At 39.4% G+C, this 27,506-nt stretch overlaps 1 long non-coding RNA gene across 1 annotated transcript in view; it reads right to left on the bottom strand.

Moving 5' to 3' along the window:
* Positions 1-2,881: 2,881 nt before the first annotated feature.
* The window catches only part of LOC105375448 (uncharacterized), a 40,971-nt gene continuing 16,346 nt past the window's right edge, over positions 2,882-27,506 (bottom strand). The window contains exon 4 of the long non-coding RNA NR_187939.1: positions 2,882-3,243. This is a non-coding gene — a long non-coding RNA (uncharacterized LOC105375448). The remainder of the gene's footprint in view (positions 3,244-27,506) is intronic.

Raw genomic sequence — 27,506 nt, 5'->3', positions numbered from 1 at the left:
AAGAAACACCTGAGGCAGTGCCAATCAAGTCAAATTCTTTTACAAAATTGCAGGTGCATATTTTGTTTTTAATATTCAAACCAACACTGGTTATTCAAATCAGCTTACTTTATGTAAATTAGTCCCTTCAAAAAGCCTCCTTAATGCAGGCAGTTATTAAATGAAATGGGATTTACCTTAGCTAATGTCTGCACAAAGAGGGAAAAATGTACTGGAGAAATCCTTTCATAGCTTGGAAGTACTGGGCTCACGCTTGTTTACTTACAACCCCTCCTCTGGCAAGAACAAGAAACAGAGTGTAATTACTTTCTTGACTGTCATTTTTACAGTTTCAATTTGACCCTGCATTTAAGGAGAAGAGGAGAGGCATACAAACACAGAGCCCTTTTTTCTCTACCAGTCTGGCTTAATGATTAGGAAAAAGAGACATCAATTTTGCCATTAATTTCCAAAGGGACATATTTAAGGAAGCCTGTACCATTGTGCTTGGAAAATGCAGTAAACTGCTTTCCAAATGTCCTGTCTTATTGCTCAAAATCAAAATCATTTTTCTTAAAAAATAGACTTCCATTTAGAAGGAAATAGGATGTATTTAAAAAAAGAAGAAAGAGGAAGCAGGGAAGGAAGGAAGGAGAGGGGAAAGGAGGGGAGAGAAGGGAAGGGAAAGAGGAAGGAAGGAAGAGGGGGAGGGAGGGAGGGAGGAAGAAAGAAAGAGAGAGAGAGAAAGAGAGAAAGAAAGAAAAAGAAAAAGAAAGAAAGGAAGGAGGAAGAAAGAAAGAAAGAAAGAAGGAAAGAAAGAAAGAAAGAAAGAAAGAAAGAAAGAAAGAAAGAAAGAAAAAAGAGGGAGGGAGGGACAGAGGGAGGAAGGAAGGAAGGAAGGAAGGAAGGAAAAAGAGAGAAAGAAAGGAAGAAGAAAGAAGGGAAAGGAAGAAAGGAATGAAGGAGAGAGAGAGAAAGAAAGAAAGAGAGAAAGAAAGAAAGAAAAAAGAAAGAGAGAGAGGGAGGGAAGGAGGGAGGGAGAAAGGAAGGAATGAAGGAAGGAAGGAAGGAAGGAAAGAAAAAAGAAAAGAAAAGAGACTTCCAGCAGGATGGATGTTTTTTGTTGCATTAAACAGCTATGTACAAAAAAATATATAAGACATCTGAATATTTATAATCTTGAGACATGAATCAAGCATGAGTTTTAAAGTATCAAACTGAAATTTAACTAGGAGATGAAGGTGAGTTTTAAGGTCTCTCTTTTTTTTTAATTTTACAATTGCTATTTATCATTATTAAAGAATAGCTTGAGAGAAACCCACTAAAGTTTGGAGCCAAATCCACAGTCATTGGTTACATTGTTTTGTCTTAGTTTCATTCTTTTGTAACTAAAGGAATGTTGATTGTAAATTAACATCATAAATTGTTTTGTTTTAGTTATATTCTTTTGTTCAGACATTGCATTTATTAATGTAATACTGATAAGCCAAAACCTTGTCACTTAGAAATCTGGGAAAATTTCTTCTCATGGTGTCTTTTTGAAGGTAGCAGCTCACGTTCCATACTCAATGGAAAGTGACACTTAATTTGGCAGATCCTGGTTTTAGGAACCCAAGAGAATAAAACTGTCCTGGTAACATAGGTATACAATGGAAGTTGAGCCAGGGTGAAATTCACTTTGCCAAAGTGTCATAAACAACCTAAGCTGGGGACAGGGGTGGGGTTGGTACAAGAGGGATTTTGAGGGAAACCATGGAATTTATGTCTTTATAATTAGCTGTATTTATATAAGACTTCCATTTTGTCAAGGGATTTTTTTGTATTTCATATATTTGACACCTTCATTTCGGATCCTAAATAATCAGTGTAGAATAAGCTCCAAAGACTGAGAGTCACTCCCAAAAGTTGGAAACAAAATCAGAAAAGTCATCCTCTAAAACTGAAGTTAATTAACATACGATGTGATTAGCCTTCTCCAAAAGTGACTCACAACAGGCACTTTGAAGTGAGTAGTGCAGGAGACTGGTGTGTCTCTAACTCTCTTCAGGGGACTAAGTCACTATAACCTTAGCTTTGACTTTGAATAACCTGGAAGACCACATTTTACTCATAAATGCTAACAAAATGACCTGGCAATCTGTATGAAGTTTAGAAAACAGTGTTGAAAAATAACCGTTTGTTAGAGTTTACCCAGAGACCTGGAATCTAGATAATAAAAGTCACTAGAGATACATACTCCCCGGTAAAGCAGGCATAATTCTTTAATTTCTGCCATAACTCAAAAGAAATATCCATCAAGCCTACTCAGTTTATTTTACCATGATTTCATATATTCATGTTTGCCTCACAATTTCTTGGTTAGCAACCTGGATTCCAGGAAAGCTTGGTAATGGGAAGGGCTACATGAGATAAGGTTTTCTAGTGACAAGAAAAGAAAATTCCCACTGAATATTAATGTTGGCACTTGTTTATACATCAGTCCATGTGCCTTGTTAGCCTGAAGTCAATCCCCAGAAGCCATCATTCCTAAGGGAACTGATAGCAATAAGTGTCTTGAAACTGGATTCTGAACCTACAGAGATTTCATCAGTCTGCAAAAGAACTCTGCCTGAGCAAATGTGTGAAATGGTAAAAAGTAACACACAGGATCACCATGATGCCTTTTTGCAAACCCCTGGAATGTACAGCACCGAGAATGACCCCTAATGTAAACTAGGAACCCTGGATGATAATGATGTGTCAATGTAGGTTCACCGGTTTTAACCAATGTACCACTGCGGTGGGGGACGCTGACAGTCAGAGAGCTGTGCATGTTGGGGTGTATGGCAGCTCTTTGTACAGTACTTTTCATTCAATTATGCAGTGAACCTAAAACTCTTCTAGAAATATGAAATCAATTTTCTATAGAGGTTCAGCACCACTTTATTAATGAATTTCAGCCACCTCAGAAAGACCAACCTAGAGGGTAGCTGGGCTGAGCACTGATGAAGAGACATCTCTGGTCTGCAAGTTTGTAATAGAGTTTGACTCCATTTTTGATGTTTGACTGTTGACAGCTTTCAAGTACCATCACTTCTTCTCCCACTGCCCCATGTGGGCAAGCTGATAGGAAAGCCCAAATGTTCCCTCCTTTGACACCATGGCAACTTGGAGTTCAAAGCACACACTTTGGCATGAAAGACAACCTAGTGAAAATCTTGACGTGCTCCTCCTTGGGCGACATCAGGTAGTTCATTTATCCTCTCTGAACCTCAGCTTCTTTATCTGTAAAATGGAGATAATAAATATGTACCTTCAGTGCTGTGAGAGTTAAATGAAACAACATATAGAAAGCATATGGCAAGGTGCCTGACACATAGACTTAATACAGTAATTGCCATACTCTGCCCAAAGTGAATCCTGTGATGTTGGACCTGATTTAGATGCTATTCTTCATGCCAAAAAGAATATATCTTCTCTGACTCCTCAGAGAGTCTAAGGTACACAGAAATAAGAGCAAGAGATGGCAGACTACAAGACCAGTTCCTTGGATTTTAAAAAGGCATTCCCAAGTAATAAGTTGTTAGGGTCAAAAATTTTGTAAAACATGTTGGCTGTATCAAGTTTTCTTATTAATACAATTGATATAAATTTCATTAATTTGAATCTAAACATCAATCATTGTGTAGACCAAAAGACCATGAATTTTCTGCAATTAATAATAAATGTCATAAGAAAGTGATTATTGCAGCAAATACCAAATGAGGACACAAAACAACAATGGAACACAAAAAAGAGGGTCAGGCAGAATTTGGATAAGGAAAGGAAAACTTGACAGAGATAACACTTATAACCAAATCTAGCTAAGTTGTTTGTTAATTCATTAATGCATAACAATGGAAATTAATATCAGCTTACATCAAGCCATTATACTAAACAGCACAATGAAATTAAATGTTATATTAACTGTAGGATGTCATTGAGGACGTCAATCACTACATCAAAAATGGTCCTATTGTCGCAGAATCAGAAATAGTTGTACTTTTCCTAAACAGTCTGTTTGTGGGTGCCTTAAGGGCCCTGTGAATATAATGGTTGTGTTTTCTTCTTCATGATGGCTGCTAGAGAAAACTTGTTGTCTACCTCTTGCAAGGATCTATGATATCATAATTAGCATCTGTATATTCTGGAATTCCTCTACTTCTATTATACATATTCCCTTTGTCCAAATTCCCCAATTATTTTTAATTTATTCCAACATGATGTAATGTATGTATTTTTGCAAACCATCTTTTAATAATAATATGAGGTAAAAACAAATTTTTGAATGTCATAAGCAAGAAATTCTCAGGATGCGATACAAAAAATGAAATAGATGCTATGTGGATGGCTAGGTCTTGTTAACATAGCTTTCAGATTTGTAAGCGTTTGTTTTTGTTTTTTTTTTCTTTCTGTTGCTGGTCTTGTGTCTCATCTCACCTATACCACAATTCAGGGCACATAGCACAGTATTACATGGTATGGCTCTTGTATTTGTTAAGGAAAAGAGAAAGCAGGAGAAGCAAGAAGGAAAGGAAAGTCCTGGGTCCCACCGTTTCTGCCCTTACATCAGAAGGATGCATACTTAGGCCATGGCCCTGCTGGGCCCACAGCTGGGATTTGCATTCCCATGGGCCTTGCAACATGTTATTCTGTCTTCTTTATTGAGCCAACTGAGAAAATAGCCTTGTCACTGGGAAGTACACAGGCGGCTTGCCCCAGGTACTCTGTTTTGGGGAGCCAGCCCTTACAGTGTTTGTCTGGAAACACCAACTGCCCAGCTTCTGGAGACTTTGGAGCACATGAGATGTTGCCATCCACCTGCTGGAGAGAAGTACCTGGTCCCATGGAAAGTTATGTTTGGTACAGCCTCACTCCCACCCCACACTGGGAAAAGGGTTCTTCCAGGACGTGGCTGGTTTGTTTTCCAGGCCATCCTGAATGAGAAACCAACCCTGACAGCACCTTGAAGGGCCACTTGCAGCCACTTCTGCTTGTTGACCCCGTCATCTGTGGGTAAATGTTTAACCACAGGTCTCCAGTGGAGAGAACAGGAAAGCTCAGGTTTGTAGTGTTTGCCAGTTTCCATCCTGTTTCAAGCTACTAAGGTAACATCACTGCACACCCATTTGGAAGGAGCTATGCAGCCTCCCACCATTAGGTTTATTCCCTTTGGGCAGACATAGCAAATGTAAACAACTCCAAGATTACTAATAATCATGAAATGGAGTGCAGTAATTAGAAAATGATATGTTCTGAGTAATAACCTGTGTTTTAAATTTAATTTTTTAATTGTAAGTTTATATCATTTAGCTTTTAATAATAGTTGTGCTTAATATTAGGCTCATAAAATTCATAAAAATGTAACAATTGGCTCTCACAAGCCAGTGCAAACTGATTCCAACAGAACACATTTTGGTTTGCTGTTGTTTAAGCTTTGTTGAGATGCAATTGATATACAAAAATTGCACATATTTATTGTATACAATTTAATTAGTTTGGACATACACATATACCTGTGATGTCATCACACAATCAAGGTACTAAACATATATGTCACCTCCAAAATGATATTGTGTTCTTTTGTGTGCAGGTGTGTGTGTGTGTGTGTGTGTGTGTGTTGGTAAAATTTAACATAAGATCCATTGTCTTAGCATATTTTGAAGTGCACAATATTGTTCATTGTAGGTATCATGTTGTACAGCAGATCTCTACAACTTAATCATCCTGTATAACTGAAATTCACCACACCTTGTTTCATAAAGCTTCCCTAAAAGTTCATGGATCGCTTGGTGCCTCTTGGCAATTTTTTAAATCTTTTTTTTTTTTTTATTTCTTACAAGGATTCAGGACAGAAGGAAGACATCAATACCAGATTGCAAGGAATGGCATGCATTACCTTTATTGTTGATGACATTTAACACAGAAAACCTGGGAGAGTTCCACAAATTTTCATGCAAAGCAACTGAAATATAAATATAAGATGATCTTATGTCACTATTTTCTGAAAAGCCTGGAAAGAAACAGCTACGGAAGTTGAAGAAAAATGACAATCATATTTTTTATTCCCTAAAATACAGATTTAAATATGTGTTAATTACTTCTGCAGTTAATAATAAGAACGATTATTTCTGGACCTCGTAGTCTAGCAAGAAGTCTTCACTAATTCACAATAAGAAGTCATCAAATGAGTGCTTTTGTTGAAGCGAGCAACTAATATTTTAATAGTATTTTGTAGCCTACATATACTCTCCTATTTACCCTTCCCTAAAAACCTGAGAAGGTGGTCTTATTTTCATCTGCATTGTGTCCATTAAGAAATAGAGGCATCTGGGCAGGGCACGGTGGCTTACGCCTGTAATCCCAGCACTTTGGGAGACTGAGGAGGGTGGATCACGAGGTCAAGAGATCGAGACCATCCTGGCCAAGTGGTGAAACCCCATCTCTACTAAAAATACAAAAACTAGCCAGGTGTGGTAGCATGCACCCGTAGTCCCAGTAACTTGGGAGGCTGAGGCAGGAGAATCGCTTGAACCCAGGAGGTGGAGGTTGCAGTGAGCCAAGATTGTGCCACTGCACTCCAGCCTGGCAACAGAATAAGACTTGGTCTCAAAAAAAAAGAAATAGAGGCATCTTCAGTGATTTGCCCAAGACCACACAATACAGTAAGTAGAAAAGATAAATCTCTTCTCCTTCCTGTCTTTCTTCTTTCCTTTGTTCCTTTACAAAGATTTAGGGGGTAGTGTATTAGTCTGTTAGTGCTGCCATAACAAAATACCACGGACTGGGTGGCTTAAACAACAGAAATTTATTTTCTCACAGTTGTGAAGGCTAGGAGAAGTCCAAGATCAAGATGCTTTGGGGTTGGTTTCTGTTGAGGCTTCTCTTCCTGGCTTATAGACACTGCCTTATTGCTGTATCCTCACATGGTCATTCTTTTGTGCATGTGTGGATAGAGAGAGAGAGAGAGAGAGAGAGGGAGATCTGATCTCTCTTCTGCTTCTTAAAAGGGCACTACTCCTATCAGATTAGGGCCCCACACTTCTGACCTCACTTAACCTTAGTTAACTCCTTAAAGGCCCTATCTCCAAATAAGATCACATTGGAGGTTAGGGCTTCAACACATGAATTTTATGAGGACACAATTCAGTCTGTAATATGTAGCTATTACATGGCAGACACTAAACTAGAGCTGGAAATGCAGTGAAAAACAAGAAAGACCTAGTCCCCGATTTCATGGCATTTGCAATGCAGAACAGACACTGAATGCATCCACATTTTCTCACACACAGCATTATCTATAGAAGACACAATGTTCACCCCAGTCTTCTTCATACTATGATTTTTCCCAAAAAAATTCTTTTTGTATACCTATAAAGGATAAACTTCAGACCACCTTTTGTCTCATTCATCTGTCTTTAAATTTGTGGAGGCTGACTTAATACAATTTGCTTGGAAATCTAAGGAAAGAGGAAGAGGAAGTGGGGTCCTCCCTGAAGACAGAAGCAGCATTAGGCCAAGACTTGTCAACAGGAATGCTGTGTTGCCATCATGAAAGACGAGGAATGTTTTTGTGAATTCTGTGCAGGCAGGTGCTTTGCCTCCTTATCCTACCTAGACCAGTGAAGAGCAGAAGAGCTTCTCTTTTCATGAGTCCCAAAATTCAACAGGTACTATATCTAAGAAGTCTCTGCTGTTAAGCTGAAGCAAATTCACAAGTGATTCAGAAGTTTTTTTTAAAGAACAAGAAGAACTGGACTCAACAGCATCACAGCCCTTTAAGTCCATGATTCTGCATCATCTTCCTGCAGTGCAAATGGTAGTTTTAAAAAAAAAATGGAAGAAAAGAAAAAACATTATAAGACCTTCGTTTAATGATATGCAAATGAAACAGCTACTAGGTCACCAAGCACCATGGATTCTAATTCTGCAGTGTTTTCTGAATCCAGTCTCTGCTTCCCAGCTGGTGAAAGTTTATATTGAATCAGATACAATATTGGCTGTGAGCCAAACAAATCTGGCTTCAGCTTCTGTCTCTAGTCTCATGGTTACTAGTTCTGTGAGCTTGAGCAAAACACCTAGTCTCAAGGAGCCTTGGTTTCCTCACCTTAAAAATTATAATAAAAATAATAGTGCCATGCTAGGCTCTCTCAAGGAAGAGACGCACATTTCTAGCTGTCTCAGGATATTATCAAGATATTACATATGATAGAAAAATGTTCTGCACAGCAAAGGAAACAACAGTGTGCAGAGACAACCTATGGATTGAAGAAAAATATTTGCAAGCCATACATTTGATAAGGGGTTAATATCCAAAATATATAAGGGGCCCAATGAACTCAATAGGATAAAAACAAACCAAAAAAACCCAATTGAAAAATGGGCAAAGGACTGAAATAGACTTTCTCAAAGGAAGACATAGAAATGGCCAACAGACATATGAAAAAAATGTTCAACATTGCCAATCAATAGGGAAATGCAAATTAAAACTACAATGAGATATGTCTCACACCTGTCAGAATGACTATTACCAAAAAGACAAAAGATAACAAGCGTTGGCAAGGATATAAAGAAAAGCGAACCCTTGTACACTGTTAGTGGGAATGTAAATTCGTCCAGTCATTACGGAAAACAGTATGCAGGTTTCTCAAAAAACCAAAAATAAAATCACCATATGAGCCAGTAATGCCACTTCTGGATATTTAACCAAAAGATTTGAAAGTAGTTTGTCGAAGTGATGTTTGCACTCCCATGTTCATTGCAGCAGTACTCACAATAACCAAATTATGGAATCAACCTAGATGACCATCAATGAATGGGTGAATGAATAAAGAAAATGTGGTATACTTACACAATAGAATAATATATTTGGCCTTAAAAAAGAAAGAAATTCTGTCATTTCCAACAAAATAGATGGAATTGGAGAGCATTGTGCTAAATGAAATAAGCCAAGCACAGAAAGACAAACACCTCATATTCTCATTTATATGTGGAATAAAAACAATCTAACTCATAGAAACAGAGAGGAGAATGGTGGTTAGAGCGGCAAGGCTGTGGGAGGAATGGGGACATGATGGTCAAAGGGTACAAAATCTCAGATGGGAGGAATATGATTTATTTTAGTTCTATCGCACAGTGTGGTGAATGTAATTATTAATAGACTGTTGTGCATTTCAAGATTGCTAAGAGAGATTTCTAAACTTCTCATCACAAAAACTGTTAAGTATTTGCGGTGATGGATATGTTAACTAGCTTGATTTAATTATTGTACATATTGTACTAAAAAATTATAATATCACTCGGACCCCATACATTTAACAATTATAAATTTACAATTTTAAAAATATAAATAAACAGGAAGAAAAGAAAACAGTCACCACCCAGATGACCAGGATGTCATAGGTCATGATTCAAAACAGGGCAGGTGTGGCTCTGATGACCCTGCAGGACAAAAACTCCTCCATTTAAAGATGAGAGTTTGTTACTCCCTACACTAGCAGCTCTGCCTAAATGGTGACAGTCCCTTTCTCTCTCTCTGCTTTTCTTATACCTGCTCCCTTCTATTCCATGCCAACTAACTTCCCTCTACTCTTAATGTTATGACTCCTGCTAACTTCCTTCTCCTATTGCCTTCCTTCTATTGTCTTTTCTATATGTATTTTTCTTCTGCTTCCACTACCCACTGCACCCTTTTTGTGGGTTTCCTTTTTCAGCTGTCTGAAAGACAGGGTCAGATCTCATTACTACTCCAAATACAATTCTGTCTTTGGGACAGAGCTTGGTGCTCTCTCTTGCAGACACTGGCCAGCCTATGGATGGCTGCCTTGGAGACTGATGATGCTCATCCTCGATACACTCAAGTGTGGCTAAAGTACTGAGGCCACACAGGACAAAGCATGGTTATATATGCACAGAGAACTTAATAAAAGAGAGCTGGTAACAGGCAGGTGCTCTGGGGTTTATCAGAAAGGACTAGTGTAGCTGAACACTAGCTTACATGACATGCCCAGTACAAGTGTTTGTGAGAATAGGATAAGACTTACAGCAGCTTCTCTAGTGTCTGGCCTATAACAGATGCTCAGTAAATCTTAGCCCCTCTCTTTTGATCACCATTGCCACTATGCCAGTACAGGCCTAAGTCTTCTCTTAAAACTGCAATAGGTTCCCATAAGTCTCCTTGCCTCCGCGGTCTTCTCAAATTCATCTCCCACAGCTCTACCATAGTTATCTGTAGAACCCAGGTAGAATTATTCATTTGTTTAATATATTTAATATAAATCGCATCCTTGCTATGTGCTAGACACTGTCTTATATAATAGAAATAAAGAAATTTACAAGGTATGTATTCTATCCTCAAGAGGCTCAAAGAACAGTAAAGAAAACCAATCATCATAAATACATACTATAAAAGGTTCATTAGAGAAAAAAAAGGAACAAATACTTCCCTGGTTAGAAAATGAAGACGTTTCTAAAGAGAAGGTAGAAAGTGAGTCTGGAGGAATACAGCAGCTCAGAAAATGCTCAAGGAGAAGTTCATTTCACAAAGATGACCAGATCATGAAGAATTTCAACTCCCATGCAAAGAATCCAAGTATTCTGAGACAAAGTGGAAAACTAATTTTAAGGGATATTAATGATGGTAAATGTAAAAAAAAAAAAAAGAAAAAAAATTATTTCATAATCCATTTGTCCAGGAAATGCTGGGTTAAATGAAGAAAACAATGGTAACAGGTTTCCTTACTATAGGATTTCTTAAAGCTTTTAATAGGCAAATGCATATTGTGAATCTCCAAGAATCTGATGAAGGAGAATTTGATATAGGACATTTTCCAAACCTATATGACCTGGAACTTCTTTTTTTTTCTCATGGGACACCAGGCAGGACATGCTATGACATTCCAGGGTATATTAAGTTGTTGTCTAAGAGGAGTCATTGAGGAGTTTCAGCAGAAGAGTGAGGTGAAAAAAAATCCACTTGTGGACCTCAATATCCTGTAGAATGAAGTGCAAACTCTTTGTCCTGACTCCCAGCTTGGCCTCATCCTGCCTTTTCATCCCCTGCTCCTGGCTTCTTCCCTCCATGGTTTTAAACCCCAGAAAAACTGGACATTTTGGTTTTGCATATGTGTATTCCCCTGCTTCTGAGCTCTTGCACAATCTCCTTTTGAAATTCTACTTGCCTTTCAGGCTGCATCTCAAAGACATCTCTATCTTCAATAGAGTTTTCCATGAGTCCCAACACAATGTCAATAGTAACTTTTCTGCACACTCTGTTGCTTATATTCATAGTTAGCCCTATTTCATTCCATTTTGTCTAATAGATGGCAGCGTTCATGTGTAATGGGGGGAAGTTGCAGGTGGAAATGCTGGTCACTACTTGCCAGAACCTCCATGTGCCAATTCTAATTTTTTCCTTCTATGTTCCTACTTCCTCTTTGTATTTTGAGACAAACCCTCCTCCCACCTATCCCCACTACACAAACATACCACACACGGCAGAGGCTTCCAAAATTTCTCTCACTTCACACAAATCTGCAGAAGAAATTCAGCATCTTTATTTTGTCTGTAAGCAATCTAATCTTTCTCATTAGCACCCACCTACTGAGTGGTGATAAAAACTGAGTTCATTTCTCTCTTGTAAAGTAATCTATTTCTCTCTAGAGAGCTCAGTCTTTTTTGGTTAGATGTTCTCTGTCTTTTCTTCCCCACAGGGACATCTGGGTATATGAAGCATGTTTTCTGTATCCTCCTGACAGTAGGGAGTAGAGGGCTGGGATTAACATTTTCCATCCTTATGCTTCTCTCTGGACAGGCCATCATGGAAGTGCCACTGAGCCTGTTTCTGGTCATTGGACTGGCAACTGCTGTTAAACTTGGCAGCTGGTAGGATTCATGGCCTGTCCTTTTCCAGTTTCATTAAGACCCTGCGGTCTGATTTAAGCCTATCTTATGTCTCACTGAGGCAGTTGGTCTTGGCTGAGGGGGATTATCCTGCCACTCTCAGCTACAGGGCCATCCTACTCTGCCACAGCAGCCCTCTCCATGCCAGAATCCCAGCTCATTTTCTCTTTCCCTTTCCCCTCCAAGGCCTGCAAGAAAATCTGGGACTCTGTCCAAGTGGGACTGGAATGAAAGACCGCCTGGGAGAGCTAAAGCCAGTGTATAAGGCACAAGACAGTTAGTTGCTCAATATAAATTTGAATGGAGGGCTCCAAGAGGAAAAAATAATTTTTATAAATTTTAATTTTATCAGTGCCTATGATGGCTTGTTTTCAAGAAGCTATGATATAAATGATCATGTTTCTTATAACCATTTTAACACATTAAAAAAATTGATTTCTTCCTTCTTTTAGCTTGTTATCATCATCCAAGAACATCATTTCAGCAGAAGGAAATCCTCTACCCTCACATACTTTAAATTCTAAGAAAAATAACCATAGTATAAAATGAAACAAGCAAAAGCATCATTTTAGTAGGAGCAAGGACCCTATTCTAGATATTTTAAATTTTAAGAAAAATAATCTTAATACAAGATATACAATGGAGAATAAGCAAACAAGAATTCCTGAACAAAATATTACCTTTTTTTTTTTTTTTTGGAGACAGAGTCTTGCTCTGTCACTCAGGCTCACGTGGAGTGGCATGATCTTGTCTCACTGCAACCTCTGCCTCACGGGTTCAAGTGATTCTCCTGCCTCAGCCTCCCGAGTAGCTGGGATTACAGGCACCCACCACCATGCCCAGCTAATTTTTGTATTTTTAGTAGAGACGGGGTTTCGCCATGTTGGCCAGGCTGTTCTTGAACTCCTGACCTCCAGTGTACCTCCCACCTTGGCCTCCCAAAGTGCTAGGATTACAAGTACGAGCCACTGTGCCTGGCCAAAATGTTACCTTTAAATTGGAAAACAAACTGAGGACCTCACAGACAAATCAGTGGGCGGGCTGAGAGACAGAAAGTCTAAAAGTGAGATGATGGAAGAAAGAGCATGAGAGAGGTGGACTTTGGAATTTGTGAAATGAATAATCAGAACATTTCTCTCATTAATTATGCTCCATAAAGGTAACAGTACAATATTATTCAGGTGAAAATAGTATCTCTAAGGATGACTATCTGTAATAAATGGATTCCAAATTAATAGAATCTTTTAAATAGTTTTCTAAAACATAGGTTCAGAATAAAAATAGTTGAAGAATAAAGAACGCTGAACCCTGATTAATAGGTTGATTGCATCTGTTCTTATTCTTCTGTATTAGTTCACTGGTCAGAGACTGGCTTACAGCTTCCTGTTAATTGTGACATTAGCAAAATGCCACACTTGCTATTTAAGGAGAGAGAGAAATCCAGACAGCTTTTAGCATATGAGTAATCGGCCATTTAGTGGGCAGTACTAAAGGTTGGATGCGAGGAGGGATGAATTAGGTATCCTTTTAGTAGTGGGTCAAAGGAAAGTAGAAGCTTTAGATATCATTTTCCTTCCTGGGAATATTCTGGAAGTTTTGATTTTAAAAAAAGGTACTTTATATCAAATACAGAGTCATGAGTTCACTGGTTTATTTCTTTTTATTTCTCTTTCTAAGTAAAGCCTTCCTGGAAGATTGCTGCAGCATGTAAGTGTGAAGCCAAGCATTGAATACTCCATCACACCAAATATCATCTCTTTTCCTCTGGAAGGTGTTGAAAGGTTCATTTAATCCAATGACTCAATTGGAACCTTTTACAATGCATTTTATATGACACACGATTTATCTAGGTTTTAAAAATGCATTGGAAGAATACCTTTGTACATTTCAATGATCCTGAGAGAGAGCCTTGGTTACTTTAGATTATATGGATATTGTGCTATGACCTGCCTGCTTAACTGTAAACTTTTATCTCCAATTAACTTCTGCCTATGATCTATTTAAACCCTCAGAGAAGCGGGGAGAGGTAGAGAGTCAGACTGAAGCAAAGGGTGAAACTGCCTTTGGGAAACTGTGACTGAGACAGTGAAAAAGACCTAACTTAACCAACTCCATCTTGCTTCCAACCTCCAAGCCATCCTTATTCGTTCCTGGATGTAGGCTGAACTAACTTTGGGAGAAACTTAGTTTATAATTTATAGTCTAAACAAAGACAGTAACAGCCCTTTCCCAAAGCAGTCATCCTTCTTGCCTGGGAACTAGACTGCCTTTGTAGGACTAACATTAGCCACAAGATTAGAAATTATGGTTTAGGAGTCATGCAGCTAGAGGCTACAAGATTCTGACCCTCCCTAAACTGCTACCAAGATCAGCGCTTGAGATATTTTGCAGACCCTGCACTGATAGATCAGCTGGCACCACCCAGATCAACAAACTGTCTCATTTGATCCTGTGGCCCCAACCCACGAACTGACTCAGCACAAGAAGACAGCTTTGACTACCTATGATTTCATCCCTGACCAATCATCACGCCTGGCTCACTGGCTTCTCCTCACCCACCAAGTTATCCTTAAAAACTCTGCCCCCTGAATGCTCAGGGAGACTGATTTGAGTAATAATAAAACAGAACTAGGGTCTCCCACACAGCCGGCTCTGCATGAGTTACTCTTTCTCTATTGCAATTCCCCTGTCTTGATGAATCAGCTCTGTCTAGGCAGTTGCCAAGGTGAACCCCTTGGGTGGTTATAAATTTGGGGGCTCATCCTGGATTGCCCTTGTGGCTACCCATTCATAGTTCAGTGGCCCCCCCAATCCAGCGATGGATCCAGAAGCCAGCCCAAATGGCTGCCTAATTATCTTGGACTGGGGGCTGACTCTGGTACTCTCTCTACTGGTGGGGTGCTGCCGACCCAATGTGCATAGATTTAATTGCAATGGAGAAATAGTCCTGGGGAGATGTCCCTTAACTGCAGCCCTATCACAGAGTATCTGTCTGTAGCCCCATGGTAGGGTGTAGGGTGTCTGTCTGTAGCCCCATCGTAGGATGTCTGAACTGGTGCGTATCCTAGGCGCTGCCAATGCTTCCTTCCTTCTCCCGACTGGTTTTGTACCCTGTGGTGGGGTATCTGCAGCCCCATTGTGGGGTGTCTGTAGCTCCACCATGGGATATCTGTGTCTGTAGCCTCATTGCAGGGTGTTTGTTCAGTTCCTGGGAGGTCTCGGTTGGCTCTTTCAAACCAGGAAGAGTCCTGGTTTGGTAGACTTCTCCTCAATCAGGAAGATTTTGAGGAGGTTTCTCAGAAGAATAGGCAGATTGTTTCGAAGGGATACTCTTGGAGTTCTTGGTTAGGGATCTAATTTGGAGGGCCTTCTGTCCAACTTGTCTTTGTGTGTGTTTGTATATATGGAAGGGATCTCAGAGGGGCTGCTGATGGAAGTCCAGCAGGCCTAACTCAGAGAACCCTCCTTATTTGTCTGCTCACATTCAATGAGCCATAAAGAAGGCTAAACAGGCCTGTCTCTCAGGGTGACTATCTGCTCTTCCCCTTGCCCAGAAACCCCATTGTGAATTACCGTTCGGAGGTTGCCTGTCCCCACCTGGAGTGGATCAAAGACAACAGGGACCAACGGGAAAAAGTTTGAACTTTGCTAGGCTGATATTGGGTGCTAAACAAGTGACTAATGTTTGTTTTGTTATGTGTATTTTGCTGGTTGGAAAATGTTAATTTGATTCCCCATGCAGCCCATTGGGCAGCATCTTGCAAATTAAGAATCTTGTCTACGTTTCCATAAAATAGTAAAGGGTGATTTTCTCTTGTAAAGTGGATTGAACCCCACAGCTATAGCACAAGCGAGCAGGGACATCAGAAGCCACTCCGTTCTTCTGGAAGCTGCAGAGAAAGGGAATCCAGAAACCTGGCATGCTAGCAGAAAGGGTAAGAAATTCTTACCAGCCAAGTTTCTGTTCTCTCTCTCTTTCTCCTTCTCTTTCTCTGTCTGGGTAAAACAGTAAATAAACTATTGGTCTCCTCTGCAAGAGTTTGATGAATAGAAAAAAGGATTTGTGAGACTAGTCTTAGGCTGCAGCAAATCTGGTGTACTTTGTGCTAAGAATTTGTCTTTCTGTGTTCTGTAATGGAGAAAGGGGTATCACAGGCTAGAACATGGGTTTAGACCCCTATAAGCCTGCTTTTCAAGCCAGCTTGGCAGGCTGGTCATTTACAAACTTTGCTACAGATCCCTGAAACCAATACTGTACGAAATGCCTCTGTCTTGTTTTGTGTCCTTAAGAGCTTAACCTTGTGACCATGTGGGGATACTTTCTTTTGGTTTCCACCATCCAGAGGACAGGAATTTGGGGGTTCATGTCATAGTTAGTCCTAAAAATTTTTCTTGAGCAGTTAAAAGCCTTGCAAGCTTGAAATTGGCTTCTCTAGGCTCCTTCTGGGAAAAGTAATGGAAAACTGCTCAATGCTATATAGCTCAGTAGCTAAGGCTTTATCTTTTGACAGTGGTGGCTTAGGTTCAATTGTTGGCTTCTGGATTGACTCCTTTCTGGTTTGTTATTTGTGTAACTTGGCCATTTATTGAGTTTTTTCCCCCCATAGTTAGCTTCTGATTTCCTCTCTTGAATTTTCCTTTCTCTGAACTACCTTGTGGAGATTCTAAATCTTGTAAAAAAAGAAACTGCTTACCATGTCTTTGAAGCACGTGAGAGGTTACCTTTAGCAAAGTTCAGAAACTAGAAATATTGGCCGCTTGGCATGGCTAAAGTCTGGTAACAAGAGATCTGAAAGGATTTCTTTTTTAAAGAGCACTATCGTTAAAAGTCGGTTTAATTAAAAGTGGATAAACGAGCTATAGGTATACTTAAAAAGCCTTTATGTTTTTCTCTTCTTGGAACTTGTTTTTCTGGAAAAAGGTTTTTTTCTTCTTAGTCGGCTGAATTATTTTTCTCCTTTTTTTTTTTTTTTTTTTTTTTGTCTTGCCACTCTTAATGCACATGAGAGGCCCTAAGATAATTTCTGGTATCCAGGGACTCATTGGGAAAAACAGAGGAAGTGCCAAAAACCCCGTTTTGGGGAAAAAAACCCTCTGTTTTCCTGATGAAATCCCAGGAATTAAAAGCAGATAGATCCCTCTCAAAATCAAAGGCCCTGCTCTGTTTTGCATTGTGTTATCTGATGGTTTTGAGTTTTGAGGGTATCAGAAATTACTTTGCATTATGAGAGAGCTTTGGTGTGTAATAACTAGGTAGGAAATATACTTTAAGGGATGGCTAATAGTTATTATGGAGAGGCACTTGATTCTTTGCACACTTGGATCAGAAAAGCACGCTCTTGGCCACCTGGAAGGAAACATTCCCACCTGCCCAGGGAGATGAGACTCCCATGAGAGATGGGCTGATTACAAAATGGGCTGATTGGCTTTGAGCTGCCTTGCAATGAAACACAGGGTAGAAGCTCTGCACTGTCCTCTCCCACAGTATTTCCCTCTTTTGGGGAGCCAGGATCCAGTATAAAATGACACCCTTAATTTTGGGGATCTGTCTTTGCCTTCAACTGCTTATTTGCTGCTTATTTGACCCTCGAAATGCATGCTTTCCTGGCCCCTTTCCCCCAAGGGCTCCACCCTGAAGCCAGTAATCCAATTAAAAAACTGGCAAATGAAAAATTTTACAAGTGCTGAATCTTCTGTCTGTCCGTGTATTTATATGTGTTGTATGTTTATATATAATAGCTCCGATTAATGGGCTTAGAAAAATAAGCGAGATCAAAGGACAAGGAGGCCAATAAAAGCTGCAAAAAGGAGGAGGATCTTGCCTTTATTCAGCCTCCACTGCACCTGGGTGGGCATGAGCTGGCAGGTTGAACTGATAATAGAAACATGCCAGGTTAGCAAAGCAACACAGAGAAAAGCCTGGCCAGTGCTCCCCAGACTCAACAAACACTGGCTCCATGTGGCCACCGGGATTCAGGATCAGAAGATCCAAACCACAGAGGGGCATTCATTTGCACAAATGAGGACAGAGACAGAAATAAAATCCTAGAGTCAGACAAGGGTATGCACATCAGTTGGAGGAAGGCAGTATCAAAAAGGCAATGAACAGTTGATCCCATAGGAAGAGAGTCAAGGTCAGCAACAAGCGAAGCCAAAGAAACGGTAGCAGACAAGATGTCACCTCCAAAAATGAGCTGTGTCCACAGTGCTTGTAGATCAGGCGCACCCTTTTACCAAAGTGAAGAACTTCCCTTAGTATGCCCACAAGGACGTGATTCCTTCTACCACATCTTATTAATGATGTGGACATTTGAAACATTAAATTCCACAACGATTTAATTGGCACCTGCAGCCCTGAATTACCCTTCTGGAAAGATCATGTCAGTCCCCACTGAATGCTTGTTCTGAATTGCCAAATAGCACTTAGAACTGTGGGACAATGGTCTGCTGCCCTCCACTAAGTCATGTCATGCTTTATTCTTCATGTTGCCCCATGGTCCGCTGCATCCTGACCTCCTGTTTACAATAGACATAAAGAAGATATCCAGCAATTTCAGGTCATAGTTCCTCACCAAAGAGTTAATGATCTGGTTGAGGCTGAAACCTCTACTGTACATTAGAAATACCTGGGGACCTCCTGCAAAACAGCATGTAGGATATAGCCTGGATATGGGTAAATTTTATAAACTCCCCAGAAGAGTCTAATAACCATCCAGGGTTGTAAATGACTGTCCAAATGAAGGCATTACACATAAGCAGCAAACAAATGCAAGGCCACAGACAGCACAAGCACAGTGCACCACAGATCAACGTCAATGCCGTCGCAAGTCAACCATGATAAAGCATGCACAGTCATTTTGTTCTTTGTTTAATAAAATGGCAAACCTGAAAAGCCAAAAATAAACTTAAGTTTACAGTCAATTGGAAAGTAACTGGGTTAAGTCAGTTGGCTTCAGCCTGACTACAGTCCTCCATGAACGGCATTGCTCAGGGACCGTCAGTCAATTCCTTGGCATAGAGGCTAGCTTATGCTGTGGTAACAAACAAACCCAAAATTCCTCAGCAGCTTAAAGCAACAAGTTACTTCTCACTAATGCCTCACATCTGTTACAGTTCAACTGAGGGCTTTGCTTCTTCATCCTTAGTTTAGGACCCATTTCCCAGGAATGTCCCAGATAACAGAGCAGCCATTATCTGGGACATTCCTGGGAAAGAGAGCATGATGTGCCACATGAACATTTTTAAAGATTCTGCTGAGATGTATCACACCTCATTTCTCCTATTTCATTAACCAAAGGAAGTCAGGTGGTCACACCTAACATGAATCCTACTATGTACCAAAACAAAAAGCCGGAAAGGCTTGGTGAACAGAAAAACTGACTACTTAATGCACTAGATAGGTATGGACAAAGCAAAGCAACATAGACAAACCCATCTCTATTGTGTAATTTTTGTATTTCCTAATGATAGCTAAAATGTATATGGACTGCAATAAGGACAGACAAGTACTATTTAAGATTCATAACAACTCTACAGTAGATACCCTTAACATGACCACTTTACAAATGAGTAAACTAAGACTAAAAAGAAGTGAAATAATTTTTCCAAGCTCACAGAGCTCGGAGCAAGCTGTTGAGTTGGGGTTGAGTAGCTCTAGAGCTAGCCTACTGGTAGAGCAGTCCAGTTTGCTCAAGACTAAGAGGTTTCCTGAGGGATTTTCAATGCGAAATCCAAGACCATCCTGAGCATTACAGGTATTAATCACATTACCGTCTTATTGATCAGGTTTATAGTCAATGACAGTGCTTACTGTTTTCCACATCGGAGAAGAGCTCTGAAATCTGCTAATCCCTATGCATAATAACAACACAGCATAATTCATGCCCTCCAGAAAAATCGTTCCAAGTCTCATGTTTTTATTTTGATTTGTGTTTGTTTCTTGGGTTGTTGTAGTGGTGATGATAGTATTAACATATCAGCATCCTATCATGAATATGCCTAAGAATCTCCCACCAAGATATCCTCAGTGTTATGTGTTCATTTAACCCAGGCTTCCAGGGACCACATAGACATTCAGACCAACATTACCGTGGCCTTGGGGATTATCACAATGTGACTGATTCTATCCTAAATATCCCCATTCTGTCCTCTGCTTCCCTGGAAGTTCCAAGTGGCTCACATCCTTCCTTAACAATCATTTCCATTTTTAAACAGCCACTGTCATAGTTGTCAATTCTCCTACAGCTGCCAGAATTGAAGCCTAATGACATAATTCTGTTTATTGACCAGTCCCTACATAACAAGCCACAGGCTGCTGCCGTTACACATTGTTTCATGTCATCCCTGACCAATCAGGTTGGGTTATTAACCTCTGACATACCCAAATAGTTCACTCTACTTTCTGACAAGAGCTTCTCTTCCTTCCCAGATCTAGTGATTGCCTGTTTTCTTGCCTGTATATCTCATGTATGCAGCATGAGAGTAAGACTATGTTTTAAGCCATCATTCTATTCCCAACAATCTCTTTTTCTCCCTTTAGTACAAAGCAGGACACTCTTAGGGGCAGCCCTTCAAGAGGCAGTATTCTAAGAAGCACCCTAACACTGAACCAAACTACCTGACTTCAAATCCTGACTCTGTTACCTACTAGCTATGGAAGCCTGGACAAGTTTCCTCACCTCTTTAAGCAAGCATTTCCTCTTCTGCAAAATAGACGTAATAATAGTACCTACCTCATAGGGTTGTTGTGAAGATTAAATGTGTTACCAAATATAAAGCTTTAAAACATAACCTGGCATCGAACACCAATGTTCTGGTTTGCCTGGGACTTAGGGGCTTCAAGGATGCAGGACTTTCAGTGCTGAAACTAGAAAAGTCACACGCAAAGCAGGTAACTCCACCTGGCACATAGTAAGCAATGTTTCTATGTAAGCTTCTGTTGAAGATGTGGTTGGTGATATACGGAAAGATGGTACCCTCTTTTGAACCGTAACTAGATTATTACATACCTCCAATTTCTGTTTTTTTTCCGAATTATGTCATCTGAGCAAGCAGCAGGCATACATACCTCCTAAACTAAGCACCCAGCTTATGGGCTCCTAAACTAGGCACCCAGCTCATGGGCTCTTTTGTCTTCAAACGTATCATCCTAAGCAGAAGCCCAATCATCTCTGGTCCATCTCTCCCAAGGTTTTTACATTAGAATCACAGGCTCACTTCTCATTCATTTATTTACTCCTAAGGTCTGCTTAGGAGAAGAAGAAATGGGGCTTTCTTCTTATTGGCTCATTTGTTTGATCTTGTTTAATGAGGCAAATTTTTATAACACTAGGATGTGAAACATTATTACTGTCAACAGTGCCCAATATTATTTGGCTTTCCTATCACAGTGATTGCTGTGCATAAACAAATGACATTTGTTCGCCTATCCTCAGCTCTCACAACTACATAATCACTAACAGAATGTGAAATATATCTCTGATGCACTGGCCCAAACTTACATAGGTATGTACATGGTCAACATAATTAAAAACTATTGTAAATTTTCACAAGCACAACAGGACTTGTAATTCCAGAATGATGTTGTCACCTTGAATGGAGATGACAGCTGTAGAAGAAAAAATTGAAATTTAGTCCCAGATAACTCCCAGGTCTACATTAGTTTAAAGAGGTCTTAAATTACTTAAACATTTTAAGTCTGTTTCCTCATCTGAATAACATGAATAATACCTGCTTTATAGGACTTTGTGAAGATGAAATGAAACTAATGCATATCAGTCACCCAGCTTACTCCTTCCCAATTTTAAATCTAAGTTATCCTGGGGTAGGAGAAGAGGCACATAGCCAATCCAGAGAGGGTGATGTTGCACAAAATATTTGGACTTGCTTGCACCATATCCTGTAAGTTTCTAAACACAAAAATTCACTCCAAGTGAAGCTTGGTGAATAAAGTGCCCCAGCAAGGCAACACCATCTGTAACAAAAATGTAATTCTAAAGTGATAAGGAGACGCAGATGAAAAACTAACTCTGAGGCAATTCCAAATGAGGAGTTTCAAAAACATTTTGAGAAATGGTAGAGTATTTCAAATTAGTTCATAGCTTCTCAAGGTGACTCCTTGAAATAGCAACCCTGACCTGAATGGTTGCATCTATGTTTATTTTTTTAATCACATTTATTTTCATTTCTCTTATATAATTAAAATTAATCCTGATTTCAAACATCAATTTAGATATTCTAATCACTGTTTATGCTTGAAAGCACCCTGATATGTCATAAACCAAAGTTGAAAATTTTTTCTTGTTGTGCAAACTTTAGGGTTGGTGTAAGAAGGAATAAAGTTGTGTGTGTTACACATATGGTACTCCTGCAGATGGCCACGTGGAGGGCAGATTTCCATAGCCAGAATGCAGAATAGATTGTGTTTCCCATCCTAACATTTACAATAAAACACCCACATAAGTTGGTTTAAAATATTTTGGTTTCAGCATGATTAAATAATATGTTTGCAATTAATATCTATTCACTTTGCTGTGAACTCTTGGCCCCAGTGTGCATTACCAGAAACAGTAAGACACGCTCCCCAGTTCTCTGATTTCTCAAAGCAAGAGGTTTTTCTACTAGTACTGACTGCCGTAACTGTCTCAAAGAAAAAAAATATGTCCCTGGCCACAAAGTTAAATTATAGGAGAATTTTTTTTAAGTTAGGTTTGCTGATTTAAAAGGCCCTTGGTGAGCTTTCAGACCTCAATTAAGGCTGTGATTTGAGAAAAAGAAAATGAATTTTCCAAGCAATTAGGTGGTAATAGATCTAACGGCTTTGTGGGGAAAGAAATGGGTATATTTAACTTTGACAAGTAGCTGCCATGCATGTGTTATATAACCTCTTTTGATAAGTTTTTTTGCTCCATAGACCAAATACCTTTTTTAATTATCTGAAAACGTCTTTCACAGGGAATTATAAAGAGTAACAACCACAAAGCAGACAGGCATCCTGCCCTACTGAGTCAATAGCATTCACTTTTCTAAAAACATCTCATGTTAATTTCATAATACTCATTTTAAAAGGTCTAAAAATATGTGCTTACTGATAAACCATATGGTCTCAGAAGGATATTTCACAAGAAAATGTGTCAGCTTTCATAAGCTTCCACAGGGGACCCTTTTCCTTTTGTAAGAAAAAAAACTGACATTGAAAACACAGTGGAATTTGAACATGAAAAGACTTTTTAGCAGCGTGAGAAGGTAATAGAACCCAACAAAATCAGTATATTCCATATTAAAGTAAGGCCCTGTCTTCAGCTCATTTGTGGGACAAAAGAACATACCATTGGTTACAGTGATGTAGCACAGGTATTCAAAATAAATGGAGGTGTAGATGCTTCACTGATTTGTTATTAAAGGATAGGCTAAGACTGATTCATCTCTAAAAACAGAGCTGCTTTTCTATGGCTAATTCCATAGGTAAAAAACCCTTTAAAGCTTTTTTGTTCATAGTGTGCTATTTCCTTGATTATTTAACTCTACTTTTTTCTTTGCCAATTCTTCAGAAAACCAAAATGTGTTCTACAAGATCTTACAAGGGAGGAAATTCTCCACCCAGCTCCTGTGTATGAGCAGGAAATAAATTCTCTGAGTTTTTGTTGCTTTCCTCTTTCAGGCCCCAGAAGGCTAACCTCTAACCTACAGGACAACAAAAATCCTTGGCTTTTGGGTGACAGTAAATATTTCAAGCTAACGACTGAATGAGAGTTCCCTAAAAGACGGCATACACAATTAAAACAAGTCACGGTCACCCTAAAACATGACTGGAAACAAAAGAACTTGAATATCCACATTGCTGGCATTAGAATCATTGTCCATGGCATGAATTCTGCAGGCATACCTTCAATTAATCAATGAGTGATGAATAGAGTAGTAGTAGCCAAGCGAGTCCCACCAATGATGAATATGGATTTCTAAAGCCAAATCATTCAGGAGGTGATCTATAGTGTTTATTCAGATGACAAAACCAACAGGTCAGTTCCACTGGTAACCTGATCTCTTACCTGGTAAGATCTGAAGGGTGTTTGCTATTGTCTGAGATTGAAGAGCAATGATACTGAAGCAGCTCTCCTAACCCCCGGGAACCTTCTGCTTCCAGGGGTGGAACTGAGGGAGAGAAGCAGAGGGTACACTCAGATTGAAGAAAGCTAGGACAGGACATTGTGCCACAGAATTAAGCAGAAGACAGCAACACCAGCTCACACAGCCACAGTAACGTAAGGTTGAGCTAAAAGCAAAAACACCCTAAAAAATAATAATAATAATAATAACAACTGGCATGTAATAAGCATGAACATTTATCAGAAATTGTGCTTATCTCAGTGAATATTGACAAGAACCTTCTGAGATGGGTTCTATCCCTCCTTTAGGGAGAAGGAAACTGAGACTCAGAGAGCAAGCAATAGAACAGGAATTAAACCCAGGCAACCTGACTTCAGAGTCCATGCTTTTGCCAGAAACTCTAGAAAGCACCAACTAGAAGTGAGGAAATAGCCAAAATGAGAATGAAACTGAAATGAATCAGGGAAGCAGTGAGGGAGGTACAAATGGAGTCAGATGGGCAAACATTCAAGGGGCAGAGCCCAAAGCCAGGATGAGCAGGTGGCTGTGTGATGCGACTTTTAGAGCCTGTGCTCGGCCTCATCCAGAACCTATGATCTGTTTATCTTTAAGCATTTACAGTTATAAGCTACCATCAGACAGGTACAACTAGACATAGCCATCTTAGTAAGTATAGATAATTCAAATGCAAATTCTGCAAGTCAAATAAAATTCTTTCATTTCTCCTCACTTTTTTTTTATCTTTTTCTCTCCACGCTTTTAGAAAAAAAATTATTTTGTAATCTATTTGAAAATCTCACCTGAAAAGAGCGTATCATGTATTTTATTTGAGGAGCTCAAAACATTTCATGAACACTCTCCCCACAGCCATTATAAAATTAAATAAGTAATAGTGCTTATTATTCAGTGCCTCGAAGCTATGGTTTAAGTACTAGAAAAGAATGCAGTGTCTTTCCATGGCCCTGTGGGTATTCCGCACTTTCACCTAAGGTAGAGAGAAGACTATGATGATTTAGAAATTGGAATTTCTCTGATTGTTTTATAGAAATTACACATACTTAGGAATGAGGGAATCAGTGGCAGAGCCTATGGGGCATACCAGATTGTTACGCCTGAGTTGATTTGTAAAATAATTAGAACATGTATCATATAAAGTCTTTCACTCGCTATGCCTTGCTGGTAAACAACCAGCTTTAATCTTCAGTATCTTTAAATGGTTGCCATTATATTATAATGTCCTCAGTGGATCCATGCATTTCTGCTTACACTTCTTTTATTTCTAGAAGTGTGGTTTATAAAGAAATATATCTGACCAGTAAAACCCATGATATGGAAATGATTGTCTTTATTAAATATATCTATAGCACTTCATGTTTACAAAAGTTTTTGTTTTTGTGGATGCTAGTTGAATTTGTCAATGGATCTGTTTAGGTGAGCATGGCTATTTTCATCTTACCCCTGAAAGATAAACGAGATCACATTGCTACAATTCACCCACTAAACTGATGACCAAAACAGTTAGAAGTTATATGGGGCCACCCAGAACAGTGTTGGCCCATTTTTTTTTTTTTTTATAGAGAACAATTTTGTATTCTTATTTCTTTTTTTTTTTATTTTATTTTTTTTATTATACTTTAAGTTTTAGGGTACATGTGCACATTGTGCAGGTTAGTTACATATGTATACATGTGCCATGCTGGTGCGCTGCACCCACTAACTCGTCATCTAGCATTAGGTATATCTCCCAATGCTATCCCTCCCCACTCCCCCCACCCTACCACAGTCCCCAGAGTGTGATATTCCCCTTCCTGTGTCCATGTGATCTCATTGTTCAGTTCCCACCTATGAGTGAGAATATGTGGTGTTTGGTTTTTTGTTCTTGCGATAGTTTACTGAGAATGATGATTTCCAATTTCATCCATGTCCCTGCAAAGGACATGAACTCATCATTCTTTATGGCTGCATAGTATTCCATGGTGTATATGTGCCACATTTTCTTAATCCAGTCTATCTTTGTTGGACATTTGGGTTGGTTCCAAGTCTTTGCTATTGTGAATAATGCCACAATAAACATACGTGTGCATGTGTCATTATAGCAGCATGATTTATAGTCATTTGGGTATATACCCAGTAATGGGATGGCTGGGTCAAATGGTATTTCTAGTTCTAGATCCCTGAGGAATCGCCACACTGACTTCCACAATGGTTGAACTAGTTTACAGTCCCACCAACAGTGTAAAAGTGTTCCTATTTCTCCACATCCTCTCCAGCACCTGTTGTTTCCTGACTTTTTAATGATTGCCATTCTAACTGGTGTGAGATGGTATCTCATTGTGGTTCTGATTTGCATTTCTCTGATGGCCAGTGATGATGAGCATTTTTTCATGTGTTTTTTGGCTGAATAAATGTCTTCTTTTGAGAAGTGTCTGTTCATGTCCTTCGCCCACTTTTTGATGGGGTTGTTTGTTTTTTTCTTGTAAATTTGTTTGAGTTCATTGTAGATTCTGGATATTAGCCCTTTGTCAGATGAGTAGGTTGCGAAAATTTTCTCCCATTTTGTAGGTTGCCTTCCCTATTTAATAAATGGTGCTGGGAAAACTGGCTAGCCATATGTAGAAAGCTGAAACTGGATCCCTTCCTTACACCTTATACAAAAATCAGTTCAAGATGGATTAAAGACTTAAACGTTAGACCTAAAACCATAAAAACCCTAGAAGAAAACCTAGGCATTACCATTCAGGACATAGGCATGTGCAAGGACTTCATGTCTAAAACACCAAAAGCAATGGCAACCAAAGCCAAAATTGACAAATGGGATCTAATTAAACTAAAGAGCTTCCACACAGCAAAAGAAACTACCATCAGAGTGAACAGGCAACCATTTTTTTTTTCATTGAGGCAAAAGGTAGAGGAATTTGGACAGTGAACCAATTTCCATTTAACTAATGATTATACATATATAGTGTGATGGTTAATTTTGTGTCAACTTGACTGGGATGTGGAGTGCCCAGGTATTAGGTCAAGCATAATTCTGGGTGTGTCTGTAAGGGTGTTTTTGGATGAGATTAACATATGAATGCACAGACTGCGGAAAGCAGATTGCCTTCCCTAATGCATGTGGCCCTCATCCAATGAGTTGAAGGCCTGAATAGAACAAAAAGGCTGATTCTTTTTAAGAGGGCACTCCTTCTGCCTGATACTTGAGCTGAGACATCGGTCTTTTCCTGCCTTTAGACGCAAACTGAAACATCAGTTCTTCTTGGATCTTGAATTTGGCATCTTTTGGACTGAAACTTGCACTATCATCTCTCCTGGTTCTCAGGGTTTTGGACTTGGACTGGAACAATACCATCAGCTCTCCTTGGTCTCCAGCTAGCTGACTGCAGATCCTAGGGACTTCTCAGCCTCCGTGATTGTGTGAGCCAATTCCTTCTCATAAATCTCTCTCTCTCTTTCTGTCCCTCTCTCTCTCTCCCTCCCTGTCTCTCTGTCTCTGTCCCTGC

Source organism: Homo sapiens, chromosome 7 (assembly GCF_000001405.40).
Source record: "Homo sapiens chromosome 7, GRCh38.p14 Primary Assembly".
Lineage (NCBI taxonomy): Eukaryota > Metazoa > Chordata > Mammalia > Primates > Hominidae > Homo > Homo sapiens.
Note: the sequence above shows the minus strand (reverse complement) of the source record. Positions and strands in the feature narration are given on the sequence as shown.